Source organism: Homo sapiens, chromosome 2 (genome assembly GCF_000001405.40).
Source record: "Homo sapiens chromosome 2, GRCh38.p14 Primary Assembly".
NCBI classification, from domain to species: domain Eukaryota; kingdom Metazoa; phylum Chordata; class Mammalia; order Primates; family Hominidae; genus Homo; species Homo sapiens.
Window position 1 is genome coordinate 44,474,867 of NC_000002.12, and position 20,231 is coordinate 44,495,097.

General features: G+C 35.0%; 1 protein-coding gene and 1 long non-coding RNA gene across 8 annotated transcripts in view; both read left to right on the forward strand.

The window, feature by feature from the left end:
• Window positions 1-20,231, forward strand: part of CAMKMT (calmodulin-lysine N-methyltransferase) — a 410,646-nt gene that overhangs the window by 112,920 nt on the left and 277,495 nt on the right. The window lies entirely within an intron of this gene.
• On the forward strand, window positions 925-19,098 carry LOC124907758 (uncharacterized). The gene is made up of 2 exons (XR_007086302.1): window positions 925-17,588; window positions 18,708-19,098. It is a non-coding gene; the product is annotated as an uncharacterized LOC124907758 (long non-coding RNA).

Below are 20,231 nucleotides of genomic sequence, written 5' to 3' on the forward strand. Positions count from 1 at the left end.
CTCCTCATACTAATAACTTTTCTTTATTCAGTGCCTGGTATGTAGAACTGAGTAATATTTATGACATTCATCGTGAAAGACTGGCCAGACACAAGAATGACAAGAAAAGACCTGAGACATAGTGATAGATGAAACTCGAGAATGTATTATTATTTGAACAAACTTGATTCTAATATTTACCAAAATGATACAGTTGAAAAGAGTCAAAATGTAATCCTTCTATAGCATGTGGCTTAGTTTAATATCCATGTTCCATTATTTCTTTTGTATCCTCTTGAGTATTTAATAAATTTTATTAATATCTGATTTAAATTTTAAAGTAGATAAATTAGGCTTTAATAAAAACAAATGGAAACTTTTAGTAAGTGGTTGGACTTGTTCTGAATAAAGGAATATAGAATGGACCTTATTTGAAAAGTTGAAGTTTTTAAATAGTAAGAATATAGGTTGAAATTTTTTTTTTTTTTTTGAGATGGAGTCTTGCTCTGTCACCCAGGCTGGAGTGCAGTGGCGTCATCTTGGCTCATTGCAACCTCCGCCTCCTGGGTTCTAGTGATTCTCCTGTCTCAGCTTCCTGAGTAGCTAGGATTACAGGTGCGTGCCACCACACCCAGCTAATTTTTGTTGTTTTAGTAGAGATGGGGTTTCACCATGTTGGCCAGGATGGTCTTGATCTCTTCACCTTGTGATCCGCCCGTCTTGGCTCCCAAAGTGCTGGGATTACAGGCATGAGCCACCGCGCCTGGCCTATAAGTAGAAATTTTTGAAAGGAATAACTGGTGTGGCAAGTAGAGCTGGCAACATTGTGTATATTACAAGGATGGCCTTCAAAAGGCAGAGGACTGTTGGATACCTCACTATTTTAAAGAGAAATTTTATTTAAAAAAGAAATCTTATGCATGATCTCATTTCAGTGTTGATTTACTAGAAGCATATGATGGACCTACGAACAGGACCCTTCAAATCAAAATGTATCGTTTAGGAATATTCTGAAGGGGAAAGTCTGTGACTGCATTCTCTGAGAACCATCTGCTCACCTACTTATGTCCCTTAAAACTGAAGCTTTAGGATATCCTTTGAAACCTTTTTGTTTCTTATCATATAATGTATGGTACCATAAATACCATTGCATTTGATTTTTGTGTGAAACAACACTAAATCACTATTAAAAAGGAAAGAATGAGGTTATCTTGCTGACAATTTAAAGAAAAGACTTCTTCATAATATATTTACGACATCTAAAATGCCTTTTGTCCTCAGGGTAGCACTGTAGTTCTTCGGTGCTTGAGTTGATACTGCAATTTAATACTGTACCTACAAAGAAAATTACAGTTTTTAAACTGTTTATTCCAAGTGCTTTCAAAATGAAGACACTACTAAAGTGGTGAAAGCATGTGGTTGGAAAAAAAAAAGTAGTAGGAGATTATTAATTTCTTAAAGGTAAAGATTATTGCAAATTCAAAAGATCCCACTCATTATCAATATGTGGTCCTTCTACAGTTTTGCATAGTATAACATATTCTTAAAATGGGATACATAGTGACTTTGTAGCATCAACTATTTAAATTTTCTAGCTCCTGAGTCCTTTTCTTGCTGTGAAATGTGTTCATTTTATTGTGTGATGATATTAACATATATCAAGAATATAAGTGAAATATTAAATCTTGTCATGTTCAGGGTTTTAGGGTTCTTAAAAATGTGTAAAGGTGTTTTTACACTGTGTAAAAAAAAACTTTATATGTTTGTGAGATTTTGAGTTACCTAATTTTATAAACTAAATTACTTTGTGAAAAAAAAAATGCTTAGAATCATATGTTCCATGTAGCTCAATATTGTTTTCTGGAATTGAATTAAATTATATCTACAGTTGCTTAACAGAAAGAGCACTTAATTTGTAATCCACAGACCTCGTGGTCTTAGGCAAGCCATGTAATTTACTTGTCTTTCAATTTCCTCATCTGTAAAATGGGGATAATAACTCAAAGGATTGGTCTAAGGATCAATGCTTATGAATAAAAAGCACCTAGTACATGACACATGGTGGGTGCTATATCCCAGCTATTATTATTATCCAAATGGCTTATTACTGAAGTAATGAAAGAAAGCTTTTATACAGTCATATCAATGGTAGTTCTGGGTTATAGTCTCAGAGACATCATTACTATGAGGATATAGAGAATTTAGGAAAATTTTAAAAATTATTTAAACAAAATTTGAAAAACATTGTAGGCATGTATTACCACATACAATTATATCTGCCTACCTATGTATTTAATCACTATCTTTTAGAAAACACACAACAAAAGTTCAGTTTGCCGTAGTTCATTATAGAGTTAATAGGAGCTTGGAGATTTGATCTAATAACATGCACTTCATAGTAGAGCAAACCCATGATGTTATCAGAAATTTTGGAGAAGTCCAGGATTGGGGTGTACAGGTGTACCCACCCTGAGAACCAGTGGATCTATATAAGTCTGGTGTATTGGTTTCAGTACAATGATATTTATATACAACTTTGTATCAAATAAGTTTGCTAAGCCCTATTATAAGTTAAAACTATTTTTAAACCATATTTCCCCACCCTGGTTTGGAAATTGATAAAACAGTTTAAAGCTGAAAAACATAAACTACAGTAACTCAATAAACAATTTAAAAATAAGTTGTGTAGGTAGCTGGAAAAAATTATAAATCTCAAAAGTATAGATTTAAGATAAAGCCCAGTTATCTAGAATTATAAGGTTATAGTACATTTTTGGTTGAGCACATTTAGCTTTTTCTATTCCTCCATTTTGCCTAGCTGCCATTTCTTAACTATGAAAGGAATTGAAGAGTCCATCAGAGCTTTTGTTCGCACTAAAGAATAGTCATTTGAAGAAAATGGTGCCAGGCCAGACATGTAAAGATATTTAAAGAAAAGAAGGAAGGTGATAGGCCTAAATTCAGGACTATTAGCATATTCACAATGGTACAGGTATAGGCTAAGCTTGGTCACAGGTGAAAGGCAGTAGTGTGAGAACTCATGGAATTAACAAAGCTACTTCACACAAAGGGACGGATGGTACTTCCTCCATGTCCATTCCTTTCTAAGATTTCAGTGGCAAACAGCGTATGTAAGGCTGCAGTGACAATTTGTTTCAGTGGCCCTAAAAAATACCTATATGTACCATAGATTTAATGTGTAAAATTAAAAGCAATGTATATTAAATATTTTCTAGGAATCTGTGATTTTGTGACCAAAGATCTGAATATACTTAAAAACAAATCCTAATTTTTTTCTAAAGAAACATGATAAATATCTGGATAGCTGGCTACATTTTGAAATATTCACCCAATATTTCTGCAATAGTCAGCATTTCAATAATAATTTTATTTGCTTTTTCATGGCTTTGAATTGGGTATTATTTTGTTTCTTTGTTTTGTTCTAAGTCTATATATTTTTTTTCTTGCCACCATTTGCTGTGATTACAGATATAGGTTTAGAGTTTAGCCTTTGCAATATCATCAGTTGATGGCATGTCTACAGCAATATGGTGGATAATATTTTTTATTTTCATAGTATGAGTGCTACTTGACTCTGACTGAATGATTTTCTGTTACAAGATTTTCTTTAGTTTATAGACCTACTTTACCTTGGCTTCTGAATATGCTGAAATCCTTCTGCCCTTGGTTATAACACCTTTTATTTGTTAACATTTAAAATGCTTTCAAATCTTTAACAATAATAAAGGCATTAGTTATTTTAATTAATTTGTATGGATGGAATAAAACCAAAGGGAAGGTGTCATTTTCTGGTTGCAATAAAAAGATATAAAAGTTAATTGCTTTTCTTTTCTTCCTTTTTTTTTTTTTTTTTGAGAGGCGTCTCGCTCTGTCGCCCAGGCTGGAGTGCAGTGGCACGATCTCGGCTCACTGCAAGCTCCACCTTCTGGGTTCACCCCATTCTCCTGCCTCAGCCTCCCGAGTAGCCGGGACTACAGGCGCCCGCCACCACGCCGGCTAATTTTTTGTATTTTTAGTAGAGACGGGGTTTCATCATGTTAGCCAGGATGGTCTCGATCTCCTGACCTCGTGATCCGCCCGCCTCGGCCTCCCAAGGTGCTGGGATTACAGGCGTGAGCCACCGCGCCCGGCAATTGCTTTTCTTTTCTAAGAAAATTTTGCTGACATCCTTGGTACATATTGCTATTCTTAAATGTTTGAGTTTACTAATCCTCAACAGTAAATATCTTTAAAAATGTATAACCTTGCTTAATATTAGTTACCTAAGAATGCCACAAGAAACTGGCATCTTTATAGTTACTTTATATTACAGAGTGTAATAAATTCTAGAAAGATGGGACTAATTATGGTAACAGACATTTTATACTCAATAAAAACTTTCCTTAATTTCACCCTTATGCAGGGAGTCTCAGTAGAGTACCTCTCTTTTGTGTCTTGGTTGGTATGGCATGGCACTAAGTGACATTAGATTAGCAACTGGGGAACAACTTTGTGAAACTGTTTATGGAAGTGAATTTTCAGAGTTCACGGTTGTGGGTTTTTTTCCTATCTCAGATCACCTAGCAACTTTAGATTCAGGCGGAAGTTGGAGTTTATTTTACAAAACATGAAAAAGCTTTTAAACCAACATTTTTGAGGTAAATCTGTAGCAAAAGTGAGGCCACCTGCTGTTAAGAAAAGTGCCTACACATTCATCACATTTCTGTCCCCAGTAGAGGGTACTGCTGAGTAAAACACTGCCATTGTTGTTCAGATCCTATAGGTGGCAGCAGTTCCTACAGTTTCAGAGCATAACAATGGCTCGATTTGTGGGTCTAAGAATAAAGCTGTCACGAACTCATGGAATCTTTATACTGTAAGGGCTCTTCTTTGAAATGTGATACATGAGAAAATTACCATTAATGTTTAGTTTCCCTTTTAAGATTTAAGTAGCTTATCTTTCTTTTAAGTTCCATTTTGTATTTGAAAGTGTGTCCCCAAACAAGTATTGACAGCCGTAATTTTATGGTGTTAAATTATGAAGTATAAATTTTTAGGTAATCTCAGGGAAAGATATGATGTAAACTTTTTTTTCTTTTCCTCTCCCACCCTAGCCTTCCACCCCAATTACAAGAATCATCCATTGTTAATGTTGACTGCTGCTGCAATCTTGAGAAGGAAGTCCTAGTTGCTATACAAGCATAATTTTCTCCATGTTCAGGAGCTGAGTGCTTAATGGTTTTAACATTGCCATTCAACTTTTAGGAGGCTTTGAACCAAATTGTAGCACCTATCAAAGAGTGATTTTATAACTCTCTTTAAGAAAAAAGATTTGAAACATACTGTAGTTTCTGTTAGGCGACACAGAACTGAGGATGTAAGTACTGTACTCTTAGAGCAACTCACCTTTTGCCACTCCCAAGCAGCAGAGTGCTTGTTACTTCAGTGGGTCACTTGCACACACATACACACACCCTCCACACATCCAGAATAAACTCCATATTAGGTATAACAATTGTAATTCATTCAGTTTTAACGGTCAAGTGAACATTAAAAAAATTTTCCCTGCTAATTATTGTGTTTAGTTCAGAGAGTTGCAAAATGCTAAATAAAACTAGTTTTTTGGTTCAAGTCAAAATAGAGTTAAGCCTATCTCTAGAAATGCCTATTCAGAAATTCAGCAACCCTTGTCTTATTGCTCAAATTAATTATCCAGAAACTGTATTATGATCGTTTACTCAAATTAATATGAAAATCTGAGAATTCTATCTTTGTTTTAAATTCAGGAAAGACTAGATTCTTTTTATTTATCATTTGAGATAACAAAGTAAACTAATGGCAATGTATGAGTATCTTAACGTATTTTGAAGGGAATAGGTTAAACTGTTACTCTTTTGGAGCTGATCTCTTTGTATCAATTAGGTACATTTGTAAACTCTATATTTTTGAACCATATTTTTGGAACTAATCTAAAGCTGTGAAATGAATACATTATTTCAAATTAAAACATACATATTTATATGTATTATACATATCATACATAGAGATGCATATATATATTTATTGAAGATAAAGGAAATGTAGGTTTTAGGGTTGTAGAACATTTGGATCATATAAATAGGAGATACATGCCTATACTTTCTATCATCCATATTATGTGTGTGTGTGTGTGTATGTATATATGAATACATTTATTCAATAGTATGTTCAGAATGATGTTTTTCATGAAGAATTATTAGTGTCACATATGATTCCATTTCCCATTTGGTGGATGTGAAAGGAAACAGAATTATATAAGCAAAAAAGTTTGCTGGGAACCTCACATGCTCTTAGTAATTATTTTGTGCATTGTCAGCTACTGAAAAAATTATTTGTTTTTAAAGGAACTACTAGGAGCAAAGTATAAATCAACTTATTTTTGAACACTTGTAATATTATATGTTCATATAAAATCTATTTTTGATGGCATAATGACAGTTTAATTATGTGCATTTTTTTGTCCTTGCTGTTGTTTTTAGCATATTTATAATAGCTAGCTGAATAGGAAAAAATCATCACTTAAGGCAAGGCTCTTCAGGTCATCTGTGAACATTCTGTCTATCCTTTCTTTAAAAATATTTTGAACACCAAGATATGACAAGATAAATTCCATTTTTATTTTTGCAATTCTCTTTCAGAAGCTTATGTTAAAATTAATTTCAGTTTATATTATTTTCTTATGTAACTTATGAACATGTAAGGATGATCACTTTGTTCTAATTTGTAAATTTTTACAAAGTATTTTAGTAAAATGATATATGTCCTTCAGTGAATTCATATTGCTATTCAACAAAACATTCCCTAATGATAAAGTTGATATTTATGTTTTGTAAGTAAAATCATTTCGATGAATGACAAAGCTTTTGATGAATCAGATACTATCAAAGCTTGGAGTTGTTTTCAGAAATTGAATGTATGCTGGTTTAAAAAATAAGCTAAAATATATTTTTAGGTATCATACATATGGGGAAAAAATGAGATATATAGTTAAGTTTGAACAGCTTAGACTCATTTAAACCCGGGTTTTAGAAATTTCAATTCCTTGTAATTAAAAATTCTGTTGATCTATTTAAAAATGAATATGTATTTAACTTTCCCATATTTAACAATAGTAAACTTTAATATTAGTAAAATATTACCTAAAAGATGTTCACAGAAACTGTTGACATGTTTGAAAGGATAGAATATAATTAACTCATGCATTTTGAGGGGAATTTTAGGGCTTAGAGAATTGCATAATAGACTGATAGGGAAAGACTTTCAGGAGAGGGAGCACAGTGACTGATATGCCTGAATTTGAGAAAGCAGCAGATACAATAAATGTCTGATTCTATGTAACAAGTAGTAAATGGAATTTTTCACTAATTGAATTTTTCTGTTTAACCTAGTGTCCATGTGTACGTATTGTACATATGACTAGTTTTGTAAGCATTAGAATATAATAAACTTAATCTTAAACATACACCCAAAACAATTACTTCCAAAAATTCTTCAGGAGGTCTATTGGAATCTTTAGTGTGAATGATTATCATTGTGAGCATCTATTGCTATTTTAGAGTCTTGCTTATGGGGAAAAATAATTTGATAATGATTGAGCTTTCTGATTACCTGGGTACTACATAAATAAGAGTGTTAACACTAATTTCTGTACATTTAGGTAAATATATTTACTTATAAACATTTAACGAAAATATTATTATTAAACATAGTTCTATTTTGAGTAAATAATTTAAAATGCTGGGACCGTTTTCTCTGAGTGGCCTTCTTCAGACTTCTGGACCCTAGAAATGGCCTTATACTTCACCCTAGGAGGGCCCTTTTTTTCACAGGCCTGAAACTCTGTAGAATCCATGTTGGATATTATTAATGAACATGTTTCTTTTTGTAGAGGGGAGAATGATGATTAGAAAGGTAAATTAGTATCATAAACACTCCAGATATTTCAGCATATGCGTGAAATTATTCTCTCTCTTCATGGAATCCATTGTCTTCATGTGCATCTAGTTTCGTGACCTACAAAAGAGGACTTCTGAGCCATGGGCATGTACAATCAGGTTCTGCTTAAAGTCAACATTTCTTATAAAGGCACCATCTGTATTACAAAGAATCATGATGCCAATGCTGTGGCTTTGAGTGCTGTCCAATGGAATCAACAAGTACATATAGCATGCATGTTGTGGGCAAGACATGTGCTTAGCACTATATAAAAATACACTAAAGGCTCCTACAACTGACATTTTCCCATTCAGGCCTGACTCTTCAGCCCTCTCTACTCTCTTACCTGAATAGATATGTCACCCTCAGTCAGTGTGGGGAGAATAAAGCTGAATGTGAAATTTAGCTGCCTTAACATTTAAAGTCAACTTTTCATTTAACTCATTTTTTTCTTCTGTGCTTTCAGAAAAACAATGATGAGATCAAAATTAGTTACTCATGAATTCAACCACAGTTATTAAACTTTACTATTTTTGAGGTATAGGGATCCAACAGTACCTGTTCTGAAGTTCATTTTAGTCTAATGGACTTTATTAGCCTTAAAGATGTTATCTAGTTAATGCAATATATTACACATAGGCAGTGTAATTGCTCTCCTCTGTTTAGAGAGTGTATATGAGTAGTCATAAATTCTTGATGGCATAACCCAAACTGGTATCCTAAATCCTTGACTTCTAATTTTAGACCATTGTACTTCTAAAGTTTGCTTGTAATTTGAGTATTAAGAAATTAAAGGACAAGAACATATGAAGGCCATCATGTAGCTCAAGGTCTAAGGGAAAATAATGCTGTTTCAGTTCTCAATATAAAACAAAAATAATTATATGAGTAATTATTCATTTTGAAAACTGATCTTCAAGTAAAACTGGGCTTAATCAAAAAAGGAGTAAGCCCTGAAGACCTTTTGCATTGTAAAATTCTAGCAAAGTTGTGATTCCCGTTGATTTTAAAGAGTGATAGGAGTGGAGCTTCTGAATATCCCCTGAGATTTTAGAAGTATATGATACTGGCAGTTGTCACAAAAATATATTTCTAGAGAAGTCTGAATAATTGACTCTTTAAAAATTATGTTTTCTTGCAAAATCTCTAAGGAACTGAAGAAGTTTCTAAGAATCACAGGCATGCTCTTAAAGCATTACCATGAGCCTTTACTCTGAAATACCTCATAGTGGTACCTCATACCTTCTTTGCAGAAATGAGTGCCTAAGTCCTAATGGGGAGAAATGTACTCCAAAATGATCTGAAGCCATTGGCAGGGAGACAGAAGAGATACTATTAGCAGAGCAGAAACAAAAATAGGTGGATAGAGCCAATGGGTTTTTTTTTTTTGGTAGAAACTGACAAACGATTTTAACGTTTATATGAAAATGTAAAGAACCAATAATAGTCAAAATCATCTGGAAGAAAAGGAAGAAAGTTGGAAGATTTACACTACCAGATATCAAGGCTTGTTATAAAGCTACAGTAATTAAGATAGCGTGGTATTGGTGTAAGGATTGATGAAAGTCAAATAAAATGATAAGGAGTCCAAAAATATACCCACATATATGTGGAAACTTGATTTTATAACATAGGTAGCACTGCAAAACAATGAAGATGGATGGTATTTTTAATAAAATATTCTGATTCAACTGGATAACCTCATGAAAAAAAATCATGGTCCTCTACCTCATACCATATACAAATATCAATTTCAGATTTCTATTTAGACTATAAGTCTAAATATAGAGGGTAAAGCAGTAAAGCTTCTAACATTAATGCATAAGAATATCTTCATGACCCTGAGTTAGGTAAGGATATCTTAAATAGGACAAAAAAAAAAAAACCATACAGAAAAGATTGATAAATTGGTCTATGTTATAATTAGGAATTTCTGTTATTGAAGGACACTATTTAGAAAGTAGAAATGTAAGTTACAGAGTAGGAGGCGGTATTTGAAATGCATATAACTAAGGACTTATTTTCAGAATATATAACAAATTCTTACAAATCAACAGGAAAAAAAAGAACCTAATTTCACAAATGTGAAAAACATGAACAGGCACTTCACGAACAGTATATCCAAATGGCCGATAAACAGAAAAAGATACTAAACCGAAATAGTCACCAGGTAAATACAAATTGAAACCAAAATAAGATACCAACATATTTCCAACAGAATGGTGAAAACTAAGACTGGCAAAACCAAGTATTGATAATAACGTTGAGCAATTGAAACTCATATACACTACTAATGGAAAAACCATTTTGGAAAACTGCTTGACAGTGTCTGTTAAAGCTGAAAGTATATGCATCCTGTTTCCTGGCAATTTCGTTCTCTGGTATAGTAGACCCTACAAAAATGTGTGCACCAAAAGACGTATGCAAGAATGTTCATAGTATTTTTTAATAGCTGAACACTGGAAATAACTCAAATGCCCATCAACATTAGAAAAGACAAATAAATTGTGGTTTATTCATATAATGGAATATTTTTAAAGCAAAGAAAATGAATCAACTATTTCCACACACAATATGCTGTACAAATCTCACAAACATAATGTTGAGCAAAAGATGACAGACTCAAAATAATACATACAGTCATGCATCACTTAACAATGGCGATACGTTCTGAGAAATGTGTCCTTAGGCAATTTTGTTGTGCGAACATCATAGAGTGTACTTACACAAACCTAGATGGTATAGCCTGCTGCACACATAGGCTATGTGGTATAGCCTGCCGCTCTGAGGCTACAAACCTCTCCAGCATGTTACTGTACTGGATACTGTGGGCAACTGTAACACAATGGTAAGTATTTATGTATCTAAACATAGGAAGGGTACAATAAAAAACTGATATTATAATCTGAAGGGACCAACATATATGTGGTCCTTCTCTTACCAAAACATCCTTATGCAACAGATGACTATACTATATGATTCCATTTGTATAAAGTCCAAAGGATGGCAAAACCAATCTGTGGTGTTAGAAATCAGGATAATGCTTACCTCTGGGGAAGAGAGAAAGGGAACAAGGGAAGCTTCAGGAGTGCTACTAATATTCCATTTCTTAAACTGGGTGATGATTATGTGGGTGTGTTCACTTTTTTTATTTTTATTTTTTGAGATGGAGTCTCACTCTGTCGCCCAGGCTTGAGTGCAGTGGTGCGGTCTCAGCCCACTGCAACCTCTGTCCCCTGGGTTCAAGCAATTCTCATGCCTCAGCCTCCTGAGTAGCTGGGATTACAGGCCCGTGCCACCACGCCTGGCTAATCTTTGTATTTTTTTAGTAGAGACGGAGTTTCACCATGTTGGCCAGGCTGGCCTTGAACTCCTGGCCTCAAGTGATCCACCCACCTTGGCCTCCCAAAGTGCTGGGATTACAGGTGTGAGCCACCGTCTCTGACCTGGGTGTGTTCACTCTGTGATAATTCTTTCAGCCATGATCTTATTTTTTTACTTTTCTGTATGTACATTGTACTTCAGTAAACAAGTTTAATAAAAAAGAGAGGTAACAGAAGTTGTGTTTTGTTTGTTGTTTGTTTGTTTGTTTTTTAGCTTTTCCAATACAGAGCAGAGGAAAAGCAGTCTGGAATGTGGATAAGAAGCTCTGGAAGCTTTTTCTGATTTGAAAGAGGTGGTTCACGAGATAAATATTTTTAACTTAGGCACAAACTCATAGTGTGTACTGATGTTGGTCATAGAATGCCTCAATGTTGCAAGGTTCTTCGGGCTGTGGTTCTTTACCTACACAGGATAGTGTTTATGAACCTGAATGTTGTTAAAGGAACTTTAGTCAGAGAGCTGAAAGCCATTGAGCATATATGTTGCTCAGCACAGATACCGCTTCTTCCAGAAAGCCTTCCCAGGCCCATCAGTTTGGGCCAAATGCTTTCCTTCTATGTTCCCACAAATCCTTGGTGTACCCCCCAAGAAACCGTAAGCTTCCTGAGTGAAGTTGTCTGTGTTGTCTGTCCTGAGAGACATTGTCTGTGTTGTTTATAATTTAGATTCCAGTGCCTAACATTGTGCCCAGTACTGAATAAAATAAGTACATGAATGAATGTTTGTAAGTCAGTCGTTCATAACATGAAATATGCTTAACTATGTGTTTCACTATTTTATAGATAGATTTGATCATTTTGGAACATGTAATTCTTATCAGCACTGAATATTAGGATGAGGAATTTGGGACCCTTTTGTAGGCACTAGCCTTTTGTTACTGTAGTTAAATTTTACGATAAACTAAAACTTGAGGATAAGTGGTCAAAATAAAAAAAAGTTTATGTTAAAGTAGAAACTTAAAAAGGCCTGGTATTCACTGTTAGAACAAACTACTTTTCTCAGAGTAACATTGTGCTCATCTTTAAGTTACTTTATAAAAATGTGAAATCAGCTTTTTTTTTTCTGATAACATAGAGCTTAGTGATATTTTGAAGTTGCTCTTAAATCATCTACAGCTTAAAAAGAACTTTCTAGCAAAGTCATTATAGGTAATGATTTCTCAAATGTTTTGAGTTTTTAGTATTTGTTTATTATATAAAGTTGAAATATGTACTATCATGATAATTATAATCAAATAGAGAGGTCAGACTTGAATTTTATATTTCTACCACTGACATGCTTTCTGTCAAATTAACAGGTTTTTTTTAAATAAAGTTTTGACATTGGATTCATAAGGACTGATGTCTGTATCATACTACAAATATAAACTGTTTAATTTAATGACAATGCCTAAACCAGGTAACCGGAGTGAAGACAAATGAAATTCTTCCTTTTGTACTGGTCATTGTGTGAAGGCAATCATAGACACAACCTGTGTCCTGGGATGAGATATGTGAAATGGATGCAAGTCCTCAAATGTTATCATTTTATGCATTCAAATGGATAGTCAGAAGACCCATAAGGCCCCTAATTTAGAAATTCCCACAGTTCTCAATAAAGTGGCTTTCCACTAGTTTGAGTTGTCACCTTTTCCAAAGACTTGACACCACATCTTCCTCAATGAAGTAATTCTGCTTCAAGCAGGTAGATTTTCATATTCATGGCCTACAGGCCAGATTTCAAATGCTCTTTAGTATTTTCTTTATGTCATAGCACACTTGGCTTTTGGGTAGTTTCTGCCTCATTTTCATACTAGCTTTGTAAAGATTTCTGTAGTATGTAAGAGAACTCTAAAATTGAGGCTTATGTAATTAAATGAGATATAGTTTAGACTTATGAAAGAACGGCATGAAGTATGTGTCTCATACCAATATCAATGACATTAAAGTCTCCATATGTATCAAGTTATCTATCTTTAGGGATATGAAATGTGTAAGTTTGCCAGTATATAATTCAGTAATATTTGAGTGTGTTGGCCGGGCGCGGTGGCTCACACCTGTAATCCCAGCCTTTTGGGAGGCCAAGGCGGGTGGATCACCTGAGGTCAGGAGTTCGAGACACCAGCCTGACCAACATGGTGAAACCCCATCTCTACTAAAAATACAAAAAAAATTAGCTGAGTGTGGTGGCGCATGCCTGTAATCCCAGCTATTTGGGAGGCTGAGGCAGGAGAATCGCTTGAACCCAGGAGGCAGAGGTTGTGGTAAGCCAAGATTGTGCCATTGCACTCCAGCCTGAGTAACAAGAGCAAAACTCTGTCTTTTAAAAAAAATTTGAGTATGTTATTAATAACTTATTTGTATACAGAAATTAGCCAGGCATGGTGGTGTGCACCTGTGATCCCAGCTACACAGGAGGCTGAGGTGGGAGGATCACTTGAGCCCAGGAAGTGAAGGTTGCAGTGAGCCATGATTGCTCCACTGCACTCCAGCCTGGGTGACAAGCGAGATCCTCTCTCAAATCAAACAAAAAAAAAACTCACCCCAAAAAACCCAAACTTATTTGTAAAGTGATGTTCAGTTGCATTGTTATGAAATATGGAGTCATACTTTTTTTAAGCACAAGGATACTTATTAAAAATTAGAAAAGCCTTAGGGTATTTGTGTGTGTGTGTGTGTGTGTGTGTGTGTGTGTGTTTTAAGAAATGGAGTCCCTTTCCATTGCCCAGACTGGAGTACAGTGGCACAGTCATAGCTCACTGCAGCCTTGAACTCGTGGGCTCAAGGGATCCTCCTGTCCCCCCGTCCTGAGGAGCTGGGACTGCAGGTATATACCACTATGCCTGGCTAAGTTTTAAACATTGTTTTAGAAATGGAGTCTAGCCATGTTGTCCAGGCTGGTTTCAAACTTCTGGTCTCAGGCAATCCTCCTCCTGCCTCAGCCTCCCAAAGTTCTGGGATTACAGGCATGACCCACCAACGCTGGACTTTTAATTTTTGACGTTTTTAAAATTCTTCCTCTAGTCTAATGGTTTTCATATTTATTTGTTCATGGAATACTATTTTTTTTTTTTTTTTTTTTGAGATGGAGTCTTGCTCTGTCGCCCAGGCTGGAGTGCAATGGCGCAATCTTGGCTCACTGCAATCTCTGCCTCCCAGGTTCAAGCAATTCTCCTGCCTAAGCCTCTTGAGTATTTGGGATTACAGGCACCCGCCAGCATGCCCAGCTAATTTTTGTATTTTTAGTAAAGACGGGGTTTCACCATGTTGGTCAGGCTGGTCTCGAACTCCTGAACTCAGATGATCCACCTGCCTTGGCCTCCCAAAGTGCCGGGATTACATGTGTGAGCCACTGCGCCTGGCCGGAATACTTTTTATATTCTGATGTCGTGGAAGAACTCCAAAATGAAGTAATGAGGTATAATAGTATATTGCAATACTTGGATTACAATTGACAGGAAAATAAAACCTTGCAAACTAATTGCCGTGAGAAGTAGCAATTGTGATTCTTATGCTTTGAAAACTTTAACAGAATGGAAAAAATAATGGTAACATATTAGAAAAATTGGATTATTGTAAAAAGAACAAGAAAAACCTAATTTAAAATGAAATTAAAAAAACACTTTCAATGAGAACAGTGTTTTTATGTCTTATCCATACCCATCTAATATAAGGAGAACTACTTATTGGGTTCCATGTTCACTATTTGGGTGAAAGGTTCACTTGAAGCCCAAACCTCAGTATTATGCAATATACCCATGTAATAAACCTGCACATGTACTTGCTGAATCTAATGTATATATTAGATTAATACACACACACGCACACTCACACACACACACAAATATATGGGCAATGTTTCACTGTTGGATCTGCATACCAGATGCAACATCCAGTTATAGTATTATATATATTTTTAATGCAGACAGATGCAAAAATCCTTTTCCACACAGATATGTTAGAAATAAAAGGAAAAATATATAGACTTTTACAATAGTTAGGTACTCTTGAATCAGACCATTCCAAAGTGTTTAATTATATAATTTTCAATAATAGCTCATTTGTCATCTTTCTTTTTCTTGTCTTTTTCTTTCTTTCTTTCTTTCTTTTTGAGATGGAGTTTTGCTCTCGTTGCCCAGACTGGAGTGCAATGGCGCGATCTTGGCTCACCACAACCTCCGCCTCCCGGGTTCAAGTGATTCTCCTGCCTCAGCCTCCTGAGTAGCTGGGATTACAGGCATGCGCCACCACACTCGGCTAATTTTGTATTTTTAGTAGAGATGGGGTTTCACCATGTTGGTCAGGCTGGTCTCGAACTCCCGACCTCAGGTGATCCACCTGCCTCGGCCTCCCAAAGTGCTGGGATTACAGGCATGAGCCACTGCACCCAGCCTTATCGTTTTTCTAGAAACTAAAATCTCCACATATTTATCTTCATTTTGAAGTATTCTGGATTTCAAGTACTCATGTACTTGAAAGTTATATGTATTATAACTTATGTTGTGAGAGCAGTATTTTACTAGATGAACAGTATGTATTTCTCTCCATTCCAGCCTAATAATTCAATAAGATCTAAATTCAGCTTTACTATTTTCTTTATAAAGTGCTTAAAATTGAACAAACAGGAGGAGAAAAAGGAAGAGAAGAAAACAGCAATGAAGTCATTTAGGAATGATAAGCAAATGTGGCCAGGTGAGGTGGCTCACACCTGTAATTACAACACTTTGGGAGTCCGAGGTGGGTGAATCAGTTGAGCTCAAGAATTTGACACCAGCTTGGGCAAAATGATGAAACCTTGTCTCTACAAAAAATACAAAAAAAATTAGCTGGGCATGGTGGCATGCCTGTAGTCTCAGCTACTTGGGAGGCGGAGGTGGGAGGATGGCTCAAGCCCAGGAGACAGAGGTTGCAGTGAGCTGAGAGCACGCCACTGCACTCCAGCCTGAGCAGTAGAGCCAGACCTTGTCTCAAAAAAAAAAAAAAAAAAAAGGTAAATGCAGAGTATTCCAGAGATTGTGACAAACTCTTAGCTATTTCTATGTTTTTGAGATTTCCAGCAAGGTTGTGCCAATGGCTGGAGGGGATAGAAGAGGTGGTCCATTCTAGGGCAATGAAGTGAGTTAGATAATTTTTCAAAAAAAATAATAAAATTGAAAGTTGTTCTGCTTTTAATTATCATATGTGCCTAAAATTTTTTTAAATGCCAGTGGTAAAATACCTCTCCCTATCCTTATTCATGTAGACCACTCCTACCATGCCGTACCTTTTGGTACACCATTGGCTTCCAGGATATTTAAAAACTGAAGAAAATACCGAAAACAGGGTTACAAAAATTTTGGAATATTTTAAATGTGTTAATTTAATAAAGTAACTCTTTGTACAAAGGCAATTTAATTGAGCTATTCATAGGATAGTTGTATAATATAGAAATATGTAACTTACACTGCACTATGATAAATGCCTGACTTTCGGCCCTGTCAGGTTATCACTTGTGACTATACATCTGACCTTTTTTTGATTTTCTTTATGGCTATGAGGGCAGACCATACACTTTTCTTGTTGCTGTTCTTTTACCTATTGCACCCCCTTAACCAGAATGGGCCCTTTTTAATTGGTAACTAATTGCCTTAAAGGTATGTTGAGAATATAGCATTCTTTGAAGGTATCAACAAATTTATAAGAAAAGTTTGTAGAGCATGAAATTCAGGAAATGTTTTCTTTCTTTCTTTTTTAATCAATTAAGTAATTAGATTTAGTTCTACTAATATTACTGATTTACCTTAAATCGTGAATCCAGCTGATGAACTTTTTGAAATGTGAAGCACTGGTTAGGAATTTGAGAACTGCAGATGTGAGACTCATCTAGATCTTAGTTATGATTTTATTGTTCACTTCATTTGAAGGACAGAGAAAAAAAGGCAGGGGTTGAACATAAATCTCAGAGACTGTATGAGGATTAATGAAATTATGTCCCTTATAAAACATTTGAGTTTTTTTTTTGGTAGAATGCCAGTATGTGAGAATAAAGGAGGATATTCACCAGTGTCTTCTAACATTTAAAATGTTAGGAGAAGCAGATCATATTTGAAAATGAAATTTAGTCTGTGGTTAATAGTTTATTTCCTCTTAAAATTGTTATCAACTTCCATAAATGTAAATTATATATTTTTATTTTCATATTTTTTGATAGTCAATACTTGTTTCCAACATGGACAATATTAAACTGTAAAGTTTCTGAAGTACTCCAGGTTTCTCAAATACTCTTATTTCCAGGTAAGAATAAAAAATGTAAAAAATATTTTAAAAGTTAAAAAAATAATATTGCAAGTAAGCAATGTAGGTAAGGTGTTTTGCATCTGAGAGTGCGTTTGCCCAACTTAACTAATAGGGCAAAAGCACTATTGTGATGACATCTTTGACGAATCTTTCTTGGACCCAATATCACCGATGATGTTGGTTTGTGGGTTGGGCCTTCTTCACTGCTTGGTTTATCTTTGGTGTCAATCAGTGGTAATGATACAATCCATGACAAAATATTTTTTGTTGAATATTTATCATCACTCAAAATAGGACACAGTTCTTTCTAAAGATAAAGGCTTTCTCCTAAGGCATTTGTTCCTACTTTAAGGATTTACTGTAGCAGAATATGCTTCTTGGATTTTATTTATTAGAGCTAAGTTATCTGATCTTTGGGGGACATATTGTATCTTTTTTTTTTTTTTCTTTTTTTGAGACACAGTCTTGCCCTGTCGCCCAGGCTAGAGTGCAATGGCATGATCTTAGCTCACTGCAACCTCCACCTCCTGGGTTCAAGCGATTCTCCTGCCTCAGCCTCCTGAGTAGCTGGGATTACAGGCATGTACCACCATGCCCAGCTAATTTTTGTAATTTTTTTAGCAGAGACGGGGTTTCACCATGCTGGCCAGGCTGGTCTCGAGCTCCTGACCTCGTGATCCACCCACCTCAGGCTTCCAAAGTGCTGGGATTACAGGCATGAGCCACTGCACCTGGCCTTAATATTTTGCTCTATTAAGCACTGGTCAACAGGAAAAAAACATGAATTTACTTTGAATCCTAAAAAAGTTATGACTTTAGAACTAAAGTCACCTGTGCCAGGTACCTGAGGCCTCAGAAACAAATATCTGCCTATATACTGTATATTTGAAAACAAAGTAGCAAAACTTTTTGTTTTTAAGTTTTAGTTCTGGACTTCTACTCCTGCAGCCCGTTAGAAATCATTCTGTCTTTCTCTGTCTCTCTCAAGTCTAAACAACCCCAGAGGATGTACTGTTGTTTTTATTTGTTTTATAAAGTGCTAATCAAACTATTGATGGTTTAAAAAATTATTTGATAATAATGATTTTGCTTTTTGTTTTTATTCTTCTTCATGAGATGTGTTTTTCCCAGGGCAAGTTGATAAAGACATTTTTGACCACCTGATTTTTGCCTGTTGCCATTGACTTTTCCTTTTTGAAGTGTGACTAAACTTTGAGAGCTCCTTCTTTGGTAATTTATAGAAGAAAAAGCCTTGGAAAAAATATTTGTACTTGATTTTAAGGGGTAACAAAATTTCTTTGTTGTTTGTTTTTTGGAATTGTGTTAAAGAAAATTACGAAATTGTAATGACTAAGTGCATATTTTTGAAGGGTTTTACTTTGTTTATTTCCTTCATCAAAAAAATAAGCAAACCAGTAACTGTTAACCCTAATTTATTTTTACTCTTCAAGTGACATTACTTTTAACTGGCTACATTTGGATAATAAAAGCCATGGATTTTAAACCACTTAGTAATTTGGTTTCATTTTTAACACAAATAACACCTTTTCATCCATTTTATATAAACTTCAAACAACATATGTTTTAACTTACTGCCAAATAAGAAGAAATGTGTTACATTAAAGTGCATGTTGTTTGCCTGTGCATTTGGAAATACCATTCATTTTATAGCAATTTTGAGTTATTTTTCTGTCACTTTGTATTCCTATTCAAAGAGACATACAGAAACCCTCGCTCAAAACAACTCCCTTAGGGTTTACTCTTGGATGTCAGTAGACATGAACGGGAGGTACTGTATACAACAAGCTTAGGTGATGGAAATGTCAACTCTTGTTGACTTGCATTTATTATTATCCTTTGAATTGTGTCCTCTTGAGATTTTGTGAGTGGTATTTTAATATATTTCTTTTATGTTTGAGGTGGGCAAAAGAGAGAGACCACCTCACTTTTTTTCCCCCCTCTTCCCTCTGTTTACGTACAAAAATGAGATACTCTCATTCTCTAGAATTTGATCCAAATTTTAAAACTGTTGCTAAGGGATAATGGTCATGCAGAATGTGAAATGTTAATAACATAAAACACTAGGACATAAAAATGGAAACATTTTCAGTGCTAACATGCAATTCAAAGTGTTGGATTGTTTTTAAATTAATGAGAAAGTATTTTTAAAGCCCTTTTTCTTTAGGATCTTAAATTGTACCAAGAGAACATGGATTCTTTTAAAGAACACAGGTTAGAGTTAGTTAAAACCTACCAATTAGTATAGGAAAGAGAGACTCCATTATGACAGATAAGGTTTAGATAGAATTATTATTAGTAAATTAGAAAATTTAAAAACATCCCCAGGAAGCTTTCTCTGACCTCTCACCTCCTGCCCTTGTTGGGTTAGGTGCCTGCCACTCTGTGAAGCTCAAGTAATCAGAGCACTGTGCTTAGCACATCCTCACTAGTCTGTGAGCTCTTTCAAGGCAGGTACTGTATCTTATTTGGCTTAGTTTTTTCATCCATCTCACACAGTAGTTGCTCAGGAAGTATCTGTTGAATGAACGTGAGATGTAGAGTGATGATGGATAGACCCTAATTATGTCCACATCCATGTAATAAAATAAGCAGTATATTTAGGTTTGAGAATAATCTCAC